We start from the raw sequence: 22,354 nt of genomic DNA, 5'->3' as shown, positions 1-22,354 counted from the left end.
TCCCCATTGTCTTGGTGATTAACATTTGGTTCCTTGTTACTTATGCAAATTTCTGCAGCCAGCTTGAATTTCTCCCTAGAAAATGGGATTTTCTTTTCTACTGCATTGTCAGGCTGCAAAGTTTGCAGACTTTTATGTTCTGCTTCCTCTTGAGCACTTTGGTGCTTAGAAATTTCTTCCACCAGATACCCTAAATCATCTCTCTCAAGTTCAAAGTTCCACAGATCTTTAGAGCATGGGCAAAATGCTGCCAGTCTCTTTGATAAGCATAGCAAGAGTCACCTTTGCTCCAGTTCCCAAGAAGTTCCTCATCTCCATCTGAGACCACCTCAGCCTGGACTTCATTGTCTCTATCACTATCAGCATTTTGTTGAATGGTCAAAGGCATTCAACAAGTATCCAGGAAGTTCCAAATTTTCCCTCATCTTCCTGTCTTCTTTTGACATCCAAATTGTGCCCAGTTCCAAAGTTGCTTCCACATTTTCAGGTATCTTTATAGCAATGCCCCACTTCTCTGGTACCAATTTTCTGTTTTAGTCCTTTCTCACACTGCTGTAAAGACATATCTGAGACTGAGTAATTTATGAAGAAAAGAGGTTTAATTGACTAGTAGTTCTGCAGGCTGCACAGGAAGCATGGCTTGGGAGGCCTTAGGAAACTTACAACCATGGCAGGAGGTGAAGGAGAAGCAGGCACAGTCTTCACATGGCCAGAGCAGGAGAGACAGCAAAGGGGGAAGTGCTACACACTTTCAAACAACCAGATCTCATGAGAACTCACTCACCATCATGAAAATAGCAAGGGGCAAATCTGCCCCCGTGATCCAATCACCTCCCACCAGTTTTCTCCCCCAACATTAGGAATTATAATTCAACATGAGATTTAGGTGGGGACACAGAGCCAAACCGTATCAGATGCCAATCCCTTCTGGCTTGTAAGGTTTCTGCAAGAAGTCTGCTGTTAGTCCAATAAATTTTCCTTTATAAGTTATGTGATGCTTTTTTCTCATTGCTCTTAGAATTCTTTACTTCACATTGGCTTTAGATAGCCTGACAATTACATGCCTTGGTGATGTTCTTTTTGAAGTGAATTGACCAGGAGTTCTTTGAGCTTCTTGTTTTTGGATCCCTAAATCTCTAGCAAAGCCAGAAAAGTTTTCCTCAAGTATTCACTCAAATAAGTTTTCTAAACTGTTTGATTTCTCTTCTCCCTAAGGAACACCAATGATTCTTAGGGTTGGTCATTTTATATAATCCCATATTTATTGGAGACTTTTTTCATTAATTTTAATACTTTTTTCTTTATTTTTGTCTGACTGTGTTAATTTGAAAAGCCTCAAGCTCTGAAATTCTTTCTTCTACTTGGCCTAGCCTATTGTTAAAACTTTCCACTGCATTTTGTAATTCATTAAATATGTCTTTCATTTCCAGAAGTTCTGATTTTTTTAAATATCTATCTCTTTAGTAATTTTTTATTCATATCCTGAATTATTTTGTCAATTTATTTATTTGGATTTTTACCTTTCTCTTGTATCTCCTTGAGTAAATTAATAATCATCTTTTTGAATTCTTTATCCGGTATTTCAGATTTCATCTGTGTTTGGATCCACTGCTAGAGAACTAGTGTGATCTTTTAGGGATGTTATAGAACCCTGTTTTGTCATATTGCTAGAACTATTTTTCTGGTTTCTTGCCATTCAGGTAGACTGTTTCTTCTAATGATTTTTGAATTTTTTTATTCATCTGTCTTTTAAAATTTCTTTCCCACCTTGAGGATGTAACTTTAATGTTTATAGTTTACTGTGACCTAATTTGGCTCTGCATGCTTTCAGGTTTGAAGACTCTGTATGAATTCTTTGGTTATAGAAAGTCTTTATAATGCTGGTTTTCTCAGATGCTGGTTATGGTAGCAATGTGCTGTGTGTGTGAGCAGGTTCACTGTCTCCTGTGGAGCTGGAATGGCAAAGGTCTCTTGAAAGCAAGCTTATCTCATTCCCCAGTGGTGTGTACTTTTTAAATTTATTTATTTTATTCCCTCCTATTTTACTTACTTGTTTGAACAGTTCAGGCTTCAGGTCGGTATGTGTCCATGGGTTAAAAACAGCTGAGGCTAAAGCAGATGGGTGAATGCAATACCCAATGGTGGGCAGGAGTCCCAGCCTTGACAGAGGTGACTGGAGGAGCTCTCAATGAAATGCATTGAGATGTTTTCATGGGGAAGGGAGGGAACCCCCTCAGCTCCCCTTCCAGGCCAGAAGAAAAGTGATCCACCTCCGAGTCACACTCCTGACTCAGTGTTCTGGCTATACAGATCAGACAGGCAGCTGTTTTCATCTGCAGGAATGCTGATGCTCCACATAGAGAGGGATTGTGACTCTACCCCTCATGCAAGCCTTAACCTGGAGGGCACTTCTTCTGTGCAGATGCAGTGACCCTGAAGTGTTCCAGAAAGGCTGTTTACGGATGCATCCATGCCAAGCTCCAGTGAAAGAAGCCCCAGCTGTGTCTTCAGTGGTGGGCAAGGGGGAGAAGAAGTCCCCTTTTCTGAGATCCTTCACAAGCACCAGAGCTTGCTGACTGTTGGGGTAGAGCCACAGACTTTCCCCATTGAGCCCAGCACAGCACCCATGCCTGAAAGAAACTTGCCACAAGTGAAAAGTTCTGGAACTCAAGGCCGGCCATCTGGATTCTGTTGTGGAGTAGGAGTCCCTGAGGGCCAGACTACTGTGAATACTGCTGCCCCTCTGGGTCTAGCCACCCAGTGGGACTTCCACACTCCAGGCTGGTGGTGGGGAATGTCTACAAGGGACCCAGTGGATGTGACCTGTCCTCAAGTCTCCCAGCACCAGCTCTGATGAGGGTAGCAGGGGAGTGACATAGATTCTGTGAGATTCCTTGGCTATAAACAGCCTTAGTGTGTTGGTTTTCTCAAGTGCCAATTATAGTAGTAGTGAAATGGTCACAAGAACACACTCAAGACCTCCTGATCAGCCAGGGTGGCGATTAGCCAGCAGGCGATGGTGATAGCTGAGGTCATGCACAATTTTCCTCCTTCCTGGGTACCATGTTATTTTGCCGCAGATGCTGTAATGGATTGTGTCAGCTGGCCTCCGCCAGGAGGTGGTGCTTGTAAAACTGCCAGCTGCAGTGGTAGCTGTGGGATTTGCACTTGCCTTACGTTTGTTACCCGGGGAAGTACTCTCATGTCTCAGGCAAAGGGCAGGGCCATGGAACTTCCAAAAGTTTCTGTCCTTTGTGTTAAGCTACTAGGGCAGGTGGAGGGGCAAAGCTAGGTGGGGACTGGGTCAGGCAAGTCTGCACTCTGGCTCTCCACCTGTGGATGCAAGCAGTGGCCCCAGTGGGTATCTGAGGGCAATTCTCTGGCCTCTGGGGTAATGTTCCAAGGAGGAGCACAGCTGCCTCTGCTGCACAGAAAATTCCGCATAGGAAGTAGGGAGTAACAGGTGGCAATACGCCCCACCAGCTCCTATGCACTTGGCAAGGCAGGTTTCACACCTCCAGTTCCAGACTGTCTGCGCTTCAGACTCAAAACTATCCCAGGCCATAAGCCTTCCCCACCAAGACAGCACGGCTTTCAGGCACCGCCCCTCCCACTCTGCCCATGAAGAAGGGGCACCCAGCTCCTGCACCTGTGGCTACAATGCACTCCCCATTCGTCCCTCAGTTCTGGCCAAGGGGGTTTATCCCTAGTCAAGATTATACCGTAAATCTCAGTTGGGAGCTTCTCTCAACCTCTGACTGCCACCTAAGTTAGCTGGCCGATTTCCACAGTGTCCCCTGTGATGGAGGATCAGGAACAGCTTCCATCCATCCCCTCTGGAGTAGGAGAGTGCACACACCACACGTTTCAAAGCTATTCCTTCTCATATACTCCTGCTGCTCATTCAATCAGCTCCAGCACTGGGTAGGGTCAAGGCTGTCCCCCATGGCCTGGATTGCCAGGTTCCCCAGTGGGGGTGTACCTCCCAAAGGCAGCTTCTCCCCTTCTCACACTCTGGGGACTTTCTCTCCCTCTCACATTCTGGAGTTTTCTGCCTGGCTCAGAGTTTAGGCTGCAGCGCGCCACTTTGTCCAAAGGATCTGTGGTTTCTTTCACTTTTCCTGTTAGGTTCCTGCATTGCTTCTTGGAAAAAAGATCCCAGTGTGAATATCTGCACGCTATTTTGTCTTTCCAAGTGGGAGAGGCACGCTAACAGTGCCTCCGATCTGCTATTTTGCAAATTTTTCTTTTTGTGTGTGTGTGTGTTTTTTCACTTAACGTTGTAAGTTAGTAAAAGTTTTCTTTTACAGTAAATACTTGGTAAAAATATTTTGTCTAATGTATTTAGTCTCTTCTTTCTGAAGACTGTATACTATTATATTATATACTATATTATAATTTATCTGAGCATTTCTCTATTGTTGGATTTTTTTGAAATTATAAATGATGCTGAAATAAAAAATTCTTATTCAAATCTGTCTGATTTCTGAGTTCTCAGGGTACATTTTCCTAGATGTGAAATAACTAGACCTAGGAAAATAAATTTTATTAAGGCTCATGGTATATGTTGTCATATTTTGCCCTTATAAATCTTTCTCCATCTCTGGTATTTTTTCATAATTTTATCTTTTAGATTTAACTCTAGTATTTCTCCCATAGCTGTAAGGTGAGGTTATAATTTTAATTTTACCACCAGATATTTAGCCAATTTTTCCAATAATGCTGTTGAAAGCCATTCCTTTATGTTAGACACAATATTTATATATGCATACGCACAGTTGGTTATAGGAATACGTGTTCTTTTCTGGTGATTTCTGTATACAACCTTTGGGTGTAAAAAATGACACCATTTTGATGATCAACATTTTAAAGTGAGTTTTAATATCTAGTATAATAAGTCCCTTCTTGACATTTTTCAAAATTTTCTAAGCAGTTCTTAATGTATTAATGTTCTATTGCTACGTAATAAATTCCCACAAACTTAGTGGCTTAAAACAACACATGTTTATTATCTCATAGTTTCTGTGGGTCAGGATTTGGTAGATGTCAGATGAGGGCCATGCTCAGTTCCTAGAGGCCATTAGTCATTCTCTGCCAATGGAACACAGCTCATGACTGCCTCCAGTCAACAGCGCTCTCACTCTTATCTTCTTTTCTTTCTTTCTTTTTTTGAGACGGAGTCTTGCTCTGTCGCCAGGCTGGAGTGCAGTGGCGCAATCTCAGCTCACGGCAACCTCCGACTCCCTGGTTCAAGTGATTCTCCTGCCTCAGCCTCCCAAGTAGCTGGGACTACAGGCACGCACCACCACACCCAGCTAATTTTTGTATTTTTAGTAGAGTCAGGGTTTCACCATGTTGGCCAGGATTGTCTTCATCTCTTGACCTTGTCATCTGCCTGCCTCGGCCTCCCAAAGTGCTGGGATTACAGGCATGAGCCACCGCGCCCAGCCTCTTATCTTCTTTTAAAGGCTTCTCTGAGTGTGTCAGGTCCACTCAGGATGATCTCCCTTTTGAGTAACTCAATGTCAACTGATTTGTGACATAATCATGTTAGTGATGACAAAGACAGGAGGCAGCCAAGGCTCCCCACCGACCCCCCACTGCCTGAAGGCTGAAGAACTGAACTGCTGGTCCTGGATGAAGCCTGCCCTTTTCCCGACTGATTCTTTCTGAATAATGCCCACCTGAGCACTGGGAGGACAGAGTGGAGCCTCAGGAAGTTCACGTGTTTGCAGAGGAAAGGAGCCTGTCCTCTCTTGTTCCTCGGTGGTGACCTGGGCATTCAATCTGTGAGACGGCGGCCTGTTAACAGGAACCTCTCTTGCTTTGCTGAGAGTTTTTTTTTTTTTCCTTTTTGTCCAATAAACTCCATTCACCCTCACCCTTCAAAGTGTCTGCATGCCTAACTTTTCCTGGTCATGTGACAAGAACCAGGTTTTTTTCTACAACAGTGATACCCATCATATCCACAGGTTTTACCCACACTGAAGGGGAGATGAAGGTATTTATACTGGGGGCGGGGGCAGGAATCTTGGGCCCATCTTCAAATCCTGCCTACTGTGATGATAAATTTTATGTGTCAACCTGACTGGACAGTGAGGTGCACAAATATTTGGTCACACATTTTTCTGAATGTGTCTATGACAGTGTTTCTGGATGAGCAGAAATCATGGTCCTTCAATTATTTTCCAGACTTGAACCAGTTTACAGACCCAGAGCCCCTTGAATGAAGGGGAGGCTAGGTCTTTTTTGTGGAAAGACCCTAGTACACTGCTAAAAATTTATCCTGTTGACTTTTTCCTAGCCTTCCCCAAAGGGACCTACAGCCTTTTCACCAGGGTAACTGTCCACTAGGGAAAAGGAAATAATCAGACCTTTCAGGGGTGCTGGACACTGGCTCTTAACTGACACTGATTCCAGGATACCTTAAATATCACTGTGGTCCACCAGCCAGAGTAAGGGCTTATGGAGGTTAGGTACCTAGTGCAGTTTTAGCTCAAGTTCATCTCACAGTGGATCCAGTGGATCCCTAAACTCATCTGGTGCTTATTTTCCCAGTTCCAGAATGCATAATTGGCACGGATATACTCAGCAGCTAGCAGAATTCCCTGTTGGTTGCCTGACCCATGGAATGAGGGCTACCATGGTGGGAAGGCCAAGTGGAAGCCACAAGAACTGCCTTTATCTAGGAAAATGGTAAACTGAAAGCAATACTACATTCCTCAAAGCATTGCAGAGATTAGTGCCACCATCAAAAACTTGAAGGATGCAAGGGCGGTGAGTCCCACCACGTCCCCATTCAACTCACCTATTCAGCCTGTGGAGAGGACAGCTGGATCTTAGAGAATGACAGTGAATCATCCTAAGTTCAACCAGATTGTAACTCTAATTGCAGCTGCTGTGCCAGATGTGGCTTCCTTGCTTGAGCAATTTAACACATTCCCTGGTACCTTCCTACCTCAGGGGTAGATAGGCTCTCCAGCCGTATGTCATAATTTAGTTTATATGAATCTTAATCACCTTTCCCTTCCACAAGATATCACATTGGTCCATTACATTGATGACATCATGTTGATCGAACCTAGTGACCAAGAAGAAACAACTACTTTAGATTTATTGGTAAGGCATTTTTGTGTCAGAGGGTTGGAAATAAATCAGACAAAAATTCAGGTCCTTCTACCTTGGCAAAATGTCTAAGGGTCCAGTGGTATATTGCATGTCAAGATATCTTAACAAAGGTGAAGGGTAAGTTGTTGCATCTGGCCCCTCCTACATCCAAAAAGGAAGCACAATGCCTAGTAGGTCTCTTTGAATTTTGAAGGCAACATATTCCTCATATGGGTGTGTTACTGTGGTCCATTTACTGAGTGCCCTAAAAATCTGCTAGTTGGAACTCAGAACAAGAGAAAGCTGGGCAATAGGCCCAGACTGTGGCACAAGTTGCTCTGCCATTTGGGTCATATGATTCAGCAGATTCAGTGGTACCTGAATGTCAGTGACAGACAGGGATGCCGTTTGGAGCCTTTTGTAGGTCCCTATGGGTAGCACAGGCCCTTAGAATTTTAGAAGCATCCTCTGTGGATAACTATTCCCCTTTCGAGAAACAGCTCTTGGCCTGCTACTGAGCCTTAGTAGATATTGAATGCTTAACTGTGGGCCACCAAGTTATCATTTGGCCTGACTGCCCTTCATGAACTGGGTATGGTATCATCTGACCCACCAAGCCCTAAAGTTGGGCTTGCACAGCAATACCCCATCATCAAATGGAATGGTATATATGTGATCACACCTGTACAGGCCCTGAAGGCACAAGTAAGTTACATGAAGATGTGGACTCCACTCATGCTACACTGCCTTCTTTATCCCAGCCTGCGCCTATGGCCTCATGGGGAGTTCCTTACCATCATTTGAAAGAGGAAGGAAAATGGGCCTGATTTATGGATGGTTCTGCGGGCGTCACATGAAAGCAAATAGCTGAAGCACTGCAGCCCCTCCCTGAGACATCCCTGTAGAACAGTGGGGAAGGGAAATCTTCCCAGCAGGGAGAACTTGGAGTAGTGTGCCTGGTTGTTCACTGTGCTTGGAAAGAGAAATGGCCAGATATGTGATTATATACCAATTCATGAACAGTGGCCTTTGGTTTGGCTAGATTGCCCAACAACTTAGAATGAATGTGATTGGAAAATTGGTGGCAAGGAAATTTGGGGAAGAGGTATGTGAATAGATCTCTCTGAATTGTTTTTAAAAACTGAAGATATTTGTGTTCCTTGTGAATGCCTACCAAAGGATGAACTCAGTAGAAGAAGGTTTCAATAATCAAGTAGAAAGGATGACCTGTTCTGTGGATACTTGTCTTCCTCTGTCTCCAGCCACTCCTGCTATTGGTCAATGGGCTCATGAACAAAGTGGACATGGACGTAGGGATGGAGAATATGCATGGCTCCAGTATGTGGATTTTCACTCTCCAAGGCCAACCTGGCTATGGCCACTTCTGAGTGCCCAACTGCTAGCTGCAGAGGCCAACACTGAGCCCTCAATAAGGCACCATTCCTCACGGTGGTCAGCCAATCCCCTGGTGGCAAGTTGATTATATTGGGCCACTTCCATCATGGGAAGGATAGTTTCATTCTTACTGGAACAGACATTTAGTCTGATATGGATTTGCCTTTCCTGCATGCAGTACTTCTGCCAAACCACTGTCTGTGGACTTACAGAATGCCTTGTCCACTGTCATGGTATTCTGCACAGCATTACTTCTGATAAAGGAACTCACTTCACAAGAAATAAAATGTGGCAATGGCTCATGCCCATGGGATTCAGGATTCACTGGTCTTACAATGGTCATGATCATCCTAAAGCAGCTGGCTTGATGAAATGGTAGAATAGCCTATTGAAGACTCAGTTACACACCAAATATGCGGCCAGAACTTGTAGAGCTGGGGAAAAGTTCTCTAGAAGGTGTTAAATGCTCTGAATCCAGGTCCAAAACATGGTGCTGTTTCTTCCATAGCCAAGATTCTCAGGTCCAGGAATCAAGGGGTGGAAATGAGAGAGGCACCATTCACTATTACCCCTAAGTGACCCACTAGCAAAATCTTTGCTTCCTATTCCCATGACTTTGTTTTGCTGGCCTAGAGGTTTTGATTCCAGAGAGAGGAATGCTTTGACCAGGAGACACAACAATGATTCCATTGATCTGGAAGTGAAGACTGCTGCCCACTTTGGGCTCCTCATGCCTCTGAGTCAACAGGCAAAGAAGGGAGTTACTGTGTTGGCTGGAATGATTGATCCTGGCTTTCAAGGTAAGGAAGAAGAGAAAGTTTGAAATATAGGGGATCTCTTATGGAGTGTCTTAGTTTTGCCAACCCCTGTGATTAAGGTCAGTGGAAAACTACAACAACCCAATCCAGGCAGGACTACTAATGATCCAGACCCTTCAAGAATAAAGGTTTGGGTCACTGCACCAATAAAGACCTGTGATATCCTGAGGTGCTTGCTGAAGGCAAAGGGAATAATACAATGAGTAGTGGAACAAGGCAGTTATAAATACCATCTGTGACCACATGACCAGTTACAGAAAAGAAGACTATAATTGTTATGAAAATTTCTTCCTTATTTTGTTAGGAATATGTGTGTATATCTGTGTGTTTATGCATGTGTGTATTAAGCAGACAACTTTTTCTTCCCTCTCTTATTCCCTTATCATGTAATAGAAGACGTACTGACTTCATATCATAGTACTTAATTACTGTTAATTCTACATTGTATTTATCACATATTTAAGTTATTAGATATCAAGGAGAACAGTAATCATCACTCAAGGACTTTGCATCCTCTGATGGAAAACTGGTTAGTGCATTTTTATTCGTACACAGGATTGTTGTATCATGTTAGATGGAATTACAACCTTGTTATTTATGTTCTTTATTTGGAGAATAAGTATGATTTAAAGAGATGCATATGAGTGCCAAGTTGGCAATGGGTTGATTTGTGATAGTTTATTTTATGTGTCAAATTGACTGGGTCACAGGGTGCGTGGATATTTGGTTAAACATTATTCTGTGTGTGTCTGTGAGGTTGGTTTTGGATGAGATTAACGTGTAAATTAATAGACTAAGTAAAGTAGATGGCCTTCCTCAACATGGGTGGGCCTCATCCTCAGCTGATGGCCTGGATAAAACACACAAGGCAGGGCAAGGGGGAGCTGCTGCCCAACTGCCTTTATGCTGAGGCATCAGTTTTTCCTGCCTCCGAACTCAAACCAAAACTTCAATTCTTCCTGGGTCTCAAGCCTGCCGGTGTTTGGGCTGAAACTCCAACACTGGCTCTCAATTTGCCGTCTGTGGATCTTGGGACTTGTCAGCCTCCATAATCACATGGACAATTACTTTTACTCTCTCTTTCTTTGGACAACCACAATATACACATTTACCTTTATAATTTTAAAAATAAACTGCAGAAGAGTTTGGTCAACTTCCAAAACAAAATCCCACGGAAATGTTTCTTTACTTGTAAGTTATATAAACATCTTATTGAAGTATAGCATACATGCAGAGAAATACACAAATCACAAGTGTACACTTGAATTCTCACAAAATTAATACCTCCCCAACTAGTTCCCTAATCAAGAACCCCTTCTGCCCTTTCCAGTGTTTACCTCCCAAGGGTACCCACCATCCTAACTAAAACCTAGATTGGTTTTGCCTGATTTTGAACTTTATGTAAATGGAGGTATACAGTATGTACTCTTTTGTGTCTGGCTCATTTTACAGCACATTATGTCTATGAAATTCATCTATGTTGTAATGTGCAGTTGCTGTACAGTATTCCACTGTATGAATCCACGATTTGTTTACATATCCTGCTGGATTATTTTCAGTTTTCAGCTGTAATGAACTGTGTGGCATGATTATTCTTGAACAGTGGCCTTGGGGAATATATTAGATATAGATATATGGCTTGTGAAGATGCCATTGGAACTTCTAGGAAGGGTGATTATAAAAATGTTTCTGGGAATAATGGGTGGTAAAATATAAATTAATTTCATGGGAATTTTAATAGGAATTTGCATTAACTCTATATATAACTTTGGCAAAAACTGAAGATTTATCATCTGTGATTCAGGAACATGACAGTTGTCTCCATTTATTCAAATTCAAGTTTTTGTTCAATAATGCTTCTCGCACACTCACCTAATTTGATGTACATTGGCCCCAAAGTGGAAAGAAGGAGATGGAAAGGAAATAAGAGGAAGGAAACTCTGACATCTCTTTCACCTGTCAGTGTTGCGCCATGTTGCCAAAACATTGTTCTGGGCCATATTTGCTCATCGGTTCTGAGAGTAAATATGATGCTTTTGGTTTCCTCACTTGCATGGGTATTAATTTAGTCCAGTCATTAGCTTTCACAAGACACCTTTTGCCTTCATTTTTAGTTATCTATTGCTCATTTAACTTTATGTGCCTGACCTTTAAAGTGTACACTCACGGGAAAGCTCCCTGGGGAACCATTTGGGTTGTTTTAGAGACTTCCTTTTCTGCCTCAAGCACTTTGAGAAACGCCCTTCCCTCTTGAGTCATACTCCTGTTTAAAATCTTTTCTTCACATTTAAAAAACATCTGTTTCAGTACAATCTTGTACACATGTCTTAAGACATCTAGAATTCTTTCCATGTCTAGGATTGCTATGAAATGGTCATCAAGGCATGCCAGGAATTGACTAGACATCCTGCTTTAGACAAAGCTTCTAGCTGATAGTGAAGTGCTGAGGCATCCTGTTGCTATTGCATCATACTTCTGAGTTGAGCTGGTTCAATAATTCTTCATTGGAAAAGCATCTGCTAGACCGTCTGCCAATGACAGGGCCTTGGTGTAAACCATGGGCATGTTTTGTGACACTGAGCTCCTTCCAGCACTTTCCAGGTGGGGATAACTCCCTTGTCACTTGGTCAGTACTGCAACTCTTGTGCTCTCCTTGAACCTCTGTGCTCCTGGACCTGTGCAACAGGAACCCCTGAGGCCCTCTGTGGACCACAGGGAGTGCCTATCCTCCCCAGTAAACCAGATTATAGTCCTTACTCATCTTTTTGGCCCGTCTGCTCCATTAAGCTTCCCACCTCCAGACATTTCCAGGTGAGAGGCAGACAACACTCTTGTTGCTTGCTAATGACCCCAGACACATTTTAAGCTCTTATAGTTACTCCCTTGCCACCCTCCACTCCACTCAGCTATCTACACAGTGCAAACCTGCTCATTCTGAAGCTTAGTCAATTATCTCTCCAGGGAGTTGATGGACAGCCTCCTCTCAACTAAATCCCCAAACCCTAGGAATAATCCTGTTGAAGATCCAGGGTCACATGGCTAGGCAGGATGATGGTGGAGATGGAGAAAGTAACCACCCACCATTACATGGAGCCAGTGATCCCTGATTCCCTATCGCTCTTTCCATTTCCCCTTTCCTTCCCAGAAACCCCATCCCTATGCCCTGTCTGCTGAGGATAACAGGGCCAGATCTGCAGCCATTTAGTCAGACCCAAGACAGGGGCTTGGCCTTGACTTTTTAGAGCTAATTTTAGAATTTAGGGGTATATAACAATTTATTTGTCCTCAGTTTTGGTCCTAAGTCAACTATCTAAAAATAATATTATAAGTCTTAAGATACAAAAGGAAACTTATAATACAATAATGTCAGATAGTTATAAATGTCATAAACACAGTGAAATAGGGGCCAGGCACAGTGGCTCACACCTGTAATCCCAGCACTTTGGAGGATGAGGTGGGAGGATCACTTGAGGCCAGGAGTTTGAGACCAGCCTGGCCAACATGGCTAAACCCCATCACTACTAAAAATACAGAAATTAGCCAGGCGTCGTGGCATGCACCTGTAATCCCAATTACTCAGGAGCTTGAGGCATGAGAATCACTTGAACCTGGGAAGCAGAAGTTGCAGCGAGCTGAGATCATGCCACTGTACTCCAGCCTGGGCGACAGACCGAGACTCTGTCTCTAAAAGAAAAAAAAAGAAGAAAAGAAAGGAAATGAAATAGGACAATGGGATTGACCATGGAGGGGAAGGTCCAAGACAGCCTCTTTGAGGAGGAAGCATCTGAGCACCCACCAGAATGACAAAAGTCTCTGAGCCCTTTGGAGATCTGGAGGAAGGGCATTTCAGGCAAAGGGAACAACAACAGCATGTGCAAAGACTCTGAGGTGGGAGTAAGCATGAAAATTTTGAGAAACAGAGAGAAAACCAATGTTCCATGCAATATGCATTTTGCTTGGGGATGGGCATGATTTCACCCCCATCCTCAAATTGCTACCTAAAGGACACCTTTCATTGATAACATTGAGGACATTGCAGAGCCTGTCCTCACATTGGAGGGAGGGACAGGTGATGGTCACTGAAGCCGTTCTTAGAAAGAACCATCCACAAGCAAGTTTCACATAACCACGTAATTCAACCTTGGACCCTTAGACATCGCTAACATAAAAATCATTCTTGTCTACTTTTATGTGATATATATACACTGGAAACACAACACTGGATTAATTATTCTCTGCAGATGTCTGAACATCCTTTAAAAGGAAATAGCTAATTAACTTCTTCATAAAGGTCCTTGGCACCCAGGAAGCAGCAGTTACAATTCTGAGTAATATAATCAAGAAGGCTTTATACAATCAGTTGAACCAAACAAAGAAAGACATTTCTTGGTATGCATATTAGCAGCAGTACAGGAAAATAAGCTGTTGAACATGTCATTGGAACTTCTAGGAAGGGTAACTATAAAAATGTTTCTGGGAATGATGGGTGGTAAAATATAAATTAATTTCATTATTCTCATACTTGGCTAAGATTATAAAATGCCATTGATATTTCTTTAAAAAGTAAAACTTTCATTTTCAAAACATCTTTATTTTTTTAGAAGCCATTCCAACTTATCTCTCCAGTGCAGAATTATGATAGAACTCTCTCATTCCTCTGCTGTTAGGAGAGCCTGGAGCACTGGCCACACTTGGTTCTCTTCTGGGGAATGCACTTCCACACTCGAGGCCAATGCTGAAATAGGCATGCAAGGGGTGTGAAGTGACCTGGAAGGGCAGTGGAGGCTCTCCACAGCCTGTCACTGAAACCCTGGAGCGGTACTTAGAGAATCAGTGTCTTACAAATCTTCCCTGAACTCCTCCACTGTTTTCTGCTTCACACCTGTGAGCTTTTTCTCTATAAGGGCTCAGAGTCCATTGACCGTGATTGGAGACTGAAGCCATGGCTAAGCTGTTTTGTGGCAGTCTTCCCACACTACCAGACACGAACTGACAAAAACAGAACAAAGCCAAGGCCCTTGTCTTTTCTCCTTCCATCAAAAAACAAGTCTCTATGCATCTCAGTTCACTCAAATCGACTTCTACTCCAGTCTCTGAACTTTGTGCTCTGTATGAAGAGCCAAGTGTGCTGGGTGCAGTGGCTCACGCCTGTAATCCCAGCACTTTGGGAGGCCGAGGCGGGTGGATCATGAGGTCAGGAGATCGAGACCATCCTGGCTAACAAGGTGAAACCCCGTCTCTACTAAAAATACAAAAAATTAGCCGGGCGCGGTGGCGGGCGCCTGTAGTCCCAGCTACTCGGGAGGCTGAGGCAGGAGAATGGCGTGAACCCGGGAAGCGGAGCTTGCAGTGAGCCGAGATTGCGCCACTGCAGTCCGCAGTCCGGCCTGGGCGACAGAGCGAGATTCTGTCTCAAAAAAAAATAAAAATAAAAATAAAAAAAAAATAAAAGGTGCAGCTCACTGTCAGCGCTCATTTAATTTTACATAAACACACTATTTGAGGCTGAAGCAAATATAACTGATTTTCAATGTGAAAATAAAATATAAAAACTGTTCTTGGAATTATTTCTAAACAGAACTAACATGGGAATCGTCTGAATCATCAGAATAATCTATTTCGGAAAAATCAGATTCATCCAGTGAATCTTTGGCCAACAACTGTTCGGGAACGATGTTAACATCACTCGTAGGAATGCTATGTTTTCTAGGATTTGACATTTTCAGTGACCGAGAATTACTATATTTTGTCAATGGGAAATACCACTACTAAAAACAAAATGCTATAAATAGAATGATGCTTTTTTTCCCAAAATTGATATACGAAAGCAATGTGAAAATAATAATGAAAGCGATGTATTTCGTGACAAAGTTATCTCCAAATAAATGCTGCAGCCGCAAGTGCCGCCGGCGACTGTCCTTGGGGAAACAAGAAAAGAGTTAAAAGCAGAGCGTTTTCTCCAGTTCATTGCAGAAAAGGAAGTCAGAGATTCAGAACTGGGGAAGAATTGGATACGCTCTTGCTAGCTTGAAGATGGAGAAGGCCATTTGGCAAAGAATGCAGGCAGCTTGTAGGAGCTGAGTGCAGCCCCTGGCTGAAAGCCCACAAGGAAATGGGACTTGAATCCTACAACTCTAAGGAACTGAATCCTGCCAATAACCCAAATGAACTTGGTAGTCGATTCTTTTCCTGAAGCCCACAGACAAGAACTCAACTTGACTGACACCTTGACTTTGGCCTTTGTGATCCTGAGCAGAAAACCTAGCTACTTCATGCATAGACTTTTGACCTGCAGAACTGTGACCTGATAAATGGGTATTGGTTGAAGCCACTAAGTTTGTGGTAATTTATTACATATCAATTGAAAACTAATACACAGGTAATGGTTCTTTGGTTAACCAAAGTCAAAGTTTTGAAATAGCAGTGGATGTCCTCAGCCTCAGAGTCCTACTCTTTGCTCTAGGGAAGGACGGGACATGCCAGTGCAATCCCCGAGCCTCCAGAAAGTCATACATGTGTACAGTTCCAGGGTGGGATCTAAGATAGCCAGCTTGGCCTCAGACCAAAAATTATTAGAAATACATTATTCAAATGTTTATATTTTCCTCAGAATCTTTCTCCTTCCATTCTCTGATACATGGGAAGGCTCCTTTCTCCCTTCATCTCTCTCTCTCTCTCTCTCTCTGTCTTATTAGATATTTTCCTCACTTATTAAATATTTTCTTAGGCATAAGAATTCAGGCTGTGTTCCTTCTATGTGCACCTGATATAGGTGGATGGAATGAACAGATGATGGTGTACAAGACAGAAGAAGAAACAAAGATCAGAGGAAAAGAGAAAGAAAAAAGAAGGAAGGGAAAGAAAACGAAAAGGAAGGAAGTAAAGAAAGAAGGAAAGAAAGATGGAAAGCAGAATGAGAGAGGGGTGTTTCAGTTATCTATATAACAAATCACTCTACAACTTGGGAGAGTTTGAGAAACAGCCGGGAGACCAATGAGTCTGCAATGTCCTGAGCTAAGGAGAAAGTGCAAGAGGCTGGACTCAGGAGAGGCTCAAGGGTTGGAGCAGGTTGTATGACACTTTGGAGATCATCGTAAGACCCTGAGTCGGGGACTGACATGATATGGTCTGTTTTAGAAGGATACCCCTGGCTTTGTGTCAAGGAGCAAGGGTAGAAGGGGGTGAGGGTGTGGCTAAAACAACAGCTATTTTACTTTCTTCTGATTCTGTGGGCTGACTGACCTAGCTGGATGGCTCTTCAGCTCCATATGATATTAGCTGGGGCTACAGCCATTCAGGGATGTCACTTAGTGAAGCCACTTAGCAGCTTTACTTTGTCCAAGACAGCACACTCATATGGCTGACAGGCAATGTCAACTGCTGTCTGGGAGCTCAGGTGGGACTGTCAACCACAGCCCCATGGTTCTTCTCCATGTGGTGTCTCCATGCACCTTGAGCCTCTCCCAGGATTACAGCTGGGTTTCAAGAGGCAGGAAGTGAAAATGTTTCATCTTCTTTAGATTGGGGCTCAGAAGTTCAAGAACATCATTTTCCCTGCATTCCCACGGTTGGAGCCCAACGTAAGAATAACCCAGATTCCAGAGGAGGAAATAAGCTCCACCTCATGGCGTGAGAAGAGACGTATGTGTACAAGTTGGTGAAAAATTGTCCTAAAGCATCTTTGGAGACTCACTGCCACAGGGTGAGAAAGAGAAGTGCACACCGCCACCCCAATCCCTGCTTCTACCATTGCTCCCTGACGTGAAGCCAGAGGGATCCTTCTAAAACATACCAGATCAGGTCACTCCCCAGCTCAGGGTCTTACAATGATCCCCAAAGTGTCACACCTGCTCCACCCTTGAGCCTCTCCTGAGTCCAATCTCCTGCACTCTCTCTCTGGCTCACTGCATTCCAGATTCACTGGTCTCTTGGCTGTTCCTCCAACTCCTCAGGCATATTCTTATCAGGGACTTTGCCTTTGCTCTTTTTTTTTTCTGTCTGAAACTCATTCTCTGGTTATCTACAAGTTTCATTTCCTAGTTTCTTTTAGCTCTCGGATCAAGTGTCAGGGAAGATCATCCTAACCATCCTAACATAAAACAGTAACCTCCATCATCCCACTGCTATGGACTGAATTGCATCCCCCTAAGTTCACATCTTCTTTAGGTTGTTTAGATGCTCTTCACATCCATCCCCAGTACTCCCCACCATGCCAGGACACAGAAAAAGGCAAGGAAGAGAGGAAGAGAGCCCTCAGAAGGAAACAAATTAGCCAGCACCCGGATCTTGGACTTTCCAGCCCCCAGAATTGTGAGAAAATAAATTTCTATTGTTTAGCCACCCAGCCTATGGTATTTGCTATGGCAGCCCAAGCTGACTAATATATCTACCAACACCCTCTGCCCACCTAGCCTGCCTGTTTTTTTTTTCACTGCCATTATCACCATCTGGATGATCATACACTTATTTGTTATTTGTGCATTGTTAGTCTCTCCACCATCCCCCAGACTACATGCTCCATGAGGAGAGACACTGTCTGTTATAATCACCACCATCTCGTTAATACCTAAAAGAGGCTGCTCAAAGAGGCTGTTCATAAATATTTGGTGAAAGATTTGAATGAATGAGAAAATAGGGATTTTTTTAGCATGAATAAACGGAGGAGGAGCACTGTTTCTTTACCAGCTGAAAGCAGAATATTTCTCCTCTTTCCTAGCAAAGACAGCAGGTGTTTTCAAAAGGTAGCACAGATGAAATGCTGCAGAGATAACCCCTATTTAAACCCTACAAGAACACAGTGGAATAGGAAACAAAAGGGTGTCAGGATGGTAGATGATTCTGGACAGTATACAGCCCAGAATCTCTAATACAGTGAGACTGCTTGATTTTCATACCTGTTTTCTCACCCTCAGGAACCTGTTAGTGCAGCATAGGCTAGATAGACCTATCCACTGGGAAAAGGGGCTTCAATTCTCATTATAGCTCCATGATGTGTACTTTGAATCTGTGGCAACATTAAAGGTATATCTCAGAGCATCTTTTAAGAGCTCTGAGAGTTTGTTTCCATAGCAAGCTTGCTGATGGTGCCCACTGAGACATTGCATCATAAGTCTATGCCAGAATATTTTGATGCCAGAGCATTAACCCTTTATGGGGACTATCACTAACTCTTTAACACCAAAGGATAAGTCTGCAACAACCTCTGAGAGAGGTGAATTGGGAAGCAGCTGTCATGTGTTCCTTAGGCTGATCATATCTCACTTTGTTTTTTTTTTTAATGAAGATGATTCTTTCTATCTGGCCAATGGCTGAATAAAGAAGCTGATGTTGCAGTCCTGGTTTACCAACCAGGAAACTGATGTTGAATAAATTCTTTAAAGTCAGGTCACAAAGGAACTAAAAGAAGAATCAAGATGAAGAGTTGAGAAATGCAAGCTAATGGTCTGACTTTTAGTGTCATTTTCAACAATACCATAGCAAGAACATAAAAACTACGAACTAAGAGCCCATATTAAGGGGCCATTTCTAGTTTCCAAACCAGAATGTCCAGCTCAGTTTCCTCTTATCAAACCATTTATCTGCAAATGCACCATGAACCCCTAGAAGAAACCAGAGAGCTACAGAGAGTGGATCCACAGAAACAAACTTGACAGACACTCTGCATTAGTTGCTTCGGGTTGCCATAACAAATTGCTATGACTTGGTGGCTTAAAACAACAGAAATGTATTCTTTCACAGTTCTGGAGGCCAGAAGTCCAAAATCAAGGCATCAACAAAGGTTGGTTTCTCCTGGAACCTCTGAGGGATAATTCGTTCTATATTTTTCTCCCAGCTCCTAGTGGCTCTGGCAATCCTTGGTGTTCCTTGTCTTATGGATACATCACTCCAATATCTGCCTCTGTCTTCACGTGGCTTTCCTCTCTGTATCTGTTTGTCTTCTCCTTTTCTATCTCTTACAAGGACACTCATCATTTGGATTTAAGTGCCCATCCAAATCCAGGATGATCTCATCTAAGCCCCATACCTTCATTACATCTGCAAAGACCCTAATTCCAAATAAGGTTACATCTTGAGGTTCTAGGGGTTATGACTTGGGCATATCTTTTTGGGGGACATACTTCAACCCACTATACATTCTTTACTCAAACTGTCAACAGGCTCCCAGTCTCACAGCCACAAATATTAGTCATTACTTGATCTAAAGCACAGATAGAATGGATAGCATTGAGCCCTCTCTAATCTGTAACACTCCGACCCCTCTCTAAAGTCCTATTTCATTTTTCTTCAAAACTCTTCTTGACTTATATCTTCCCAAACACAATCCAGTAATTCCTATAAATATCAGTCATCCCCTCCTAAAAACCCACTTATTCTTCAGATATCTCCATTTCCATACATCTGTATGTAGTTACAGAGTATGTTGAAAAACATACGGGCTTTAGATCCTGGCTCTATCACTTGCAGCACTGTCCCCATCACCATGGGAATGGGGTACCCACCCTCTCTCAGGCTCGGTCTCCTTATCTATGAAATGGGAGTTGCCACAAGAAGTAATGGAATTGCATGTAAAGCACTCAGCTCTGTGCCTTGCTCATAGATAGTAAGGGCTCAATCAATGCTGGCTAGTATTTTGTTCTTCCAGGGAAAACACATTTCATCTGTGTGTTATTGAGTGCTTACTCTAGGTATGGCACAGTAACAAGCATTATGGGAGTTTTTCTGAGGCCAAAAAAGAAACATAATTGCTCTTAGAGAACTCACAAATGGATTTTTTCCTTTTTCTGAAATTCTTAGAGGAAGGTTTAGTAATGTCCTCAAATCAGAATGCATGCACCGTGATTCTTTCTGTCTCTACAAAGGCCTTAATGTTTTACCATTACCAATAATGGGCATTTATCCTAATTTAACATCTCTAAGAAACAAATTACCTTTCAAAAACAACCATTTCTCTCCTTAAAATCTGTTTTCTGTCACAGCTTCCTGGCTACTCTTGTGAACTAAATAAGCTCATCTCCTAGTTTTCTTTGTGATTACAGATTTTCAACCATTCAGTACTTTTTAGCAATCTTCTGTTGTTTTAAGTTGTGGCAATTTGATTTGGCCAGCAAATTCCACGGGTCTAACCTGACCATGGCAAACTCATTATTAGCACTTGTACTGTTCAACAAGAAATGTCCCACTTTGAGTCTCTCTGGTACAATGTCACTGTTGGTCAAAATAATGTCAGGCCTCTGAGCCCAAGCTAAGCCATTGTATCCCCTGTGACCTGCACGTATACATCCAGATGACCTGAAGTAACTGAAGAATCACAAAAGAAGTGAAAATGGCTGGTCCCTGCCTTAACTGATGACATTACCTTGTGAAATTCCTTCTCCTGGCTCATCCTGGCTCATCCTGGCTCAAAAGCTCCCCCACTGAGCACCTTGTGACCCCCACCCCTGCCTGCCAGAGAACAACCCCCTTTGACTATAATTTTCCACTGCCCACCCAAATCTTATAAAATGGCCCCACCCCTATCTCCCTTCACTGACTCTCTTTTTGGACTCAGCCCACCTGCACCCAGGTGATTAAATAGCTTCATTGCTCACACAAAGCCTGTTTGCTGGTCTCCTCACACGGACGCAAGTGAAATTTGGTACCGTGACTCAGATCGGGGGACCTCCCTTGGGAGATCAATCCCCTGTCCTCCTGCTCTTTACTCTGTGAGAAAGATCCACCTACAACCTCGGGCCCTCAGGCCAACCAGCCCAAGGAACATCTCACCAATTTTAAATCCAGTAAGCGGCCTCTCTTTACTCTCTTCTCCACCCTCTTTTACTATCCCTCAACCTCTTTCTCCAATCTAGGTGCCATCCTTCAATCTCTCCCTTCTCTAAATTTCAATTCCTTTCCTTTTCTGGTACAGACACAGAGGAGGCACATTTTATCCGTGAACCCAAAACTCCAGCGCCAGTCACGGACTTGGGAAGACAGTCTTCCCTTGATGTTTAATCATGCGGGGACACCTGCTTGATTATTCACCCACATTTCAGAGGTGTCTGATCATGCGGGGACACCTTCCTTGGTCCTTCACCCTTAGCAGCAAGCACCCTGCTTTTCTGGGGGGCAAGGACCGCTCACCCCTTCTCTCCGTGTCTCTACTCCTTTACCACTTTTCTGGGGGACAAGCACCCCCCACCCCTTCTCTCTATGTCTCTAGCACTTTTCCACTTTCCTGGGGGGCAAGCACCTCCCACCCCTTCTCCACTTTCCTGGGGGGCAAGCACCCCCAACCCCTTCTCTCTGTGTCTCTACCACTTTTCTGCTTTTCTGGGGGGCAAGCACCCCCCCACCCCTTCTCTCCATGTCTCTACTCTCTCTTTTCTCTGGGCTTGCCTCCTTCACTATGGGCAACCTTCCACCCTCCATTCCTCTCTCTTCTCCCTGAGCCAGTGTTCTCAAAAACTTAAAACCTCTTCAACTCACACCTGACCTAAAACCTAAATGCCTTATTTTCTTCTGCAACACCACTTGGCCCCAATACAAACTTGACAATGGCTCTAAATGGCCAGAAAATGGCACTTTCGATTTCTCCGTCCTACAAGACCTAAATAATTTTTGTCAACAAATGGGCAAATGGTCTGAGGTGCCTTACATCCAGGCATTTTTCACACTTTGTTCCCTCCCTAGTCTCTGTTCCCAATGTGATTCCTCCCAAATCCTCCTTCTTTCCCTCCTGCCTCTCCCCTTAGTCCCAACCCCAAGCGTCACTGAGTCTTCCCAATCTTCCTTTTCTACAGACTCATCTGACCTCTCCCCTCCTCCCCAGGCTGCTCCTCGCCAGGCCGAGCCAGGTCCCAATTCTTCCTCAGCCTCGGCTTCTCCACCCTATAATCCTTTTATCACCTCCCCTCCTCACACCTGGTCTGGCTTACAGTTTCTAGCCCTCCCCCACCTGCCCAACAATTTCCTCTTAAAGAGGCCACTGCAGCTAAAGGCATAGTTAAGGCTAATACTCCTTTTTCTTTATCCCACCTCTCCCAAATCAGTTAGCG

Source organism: Homo sapiens, chromosome 2, assembly GCF_000001405.40.
Source record: "Homo sapiens chromosome 2, GRCh38.p14 Primary Assembly".
NCBI classification, from domain to species: domain Eukaryota; kingdom Metazoa; phylum Chordata; class Mammalia; order Primates; family Hominidae; genus Homo; species Homo sapiens.
This window is presented reverse-complemented; position numbering follows the sequence as displayed.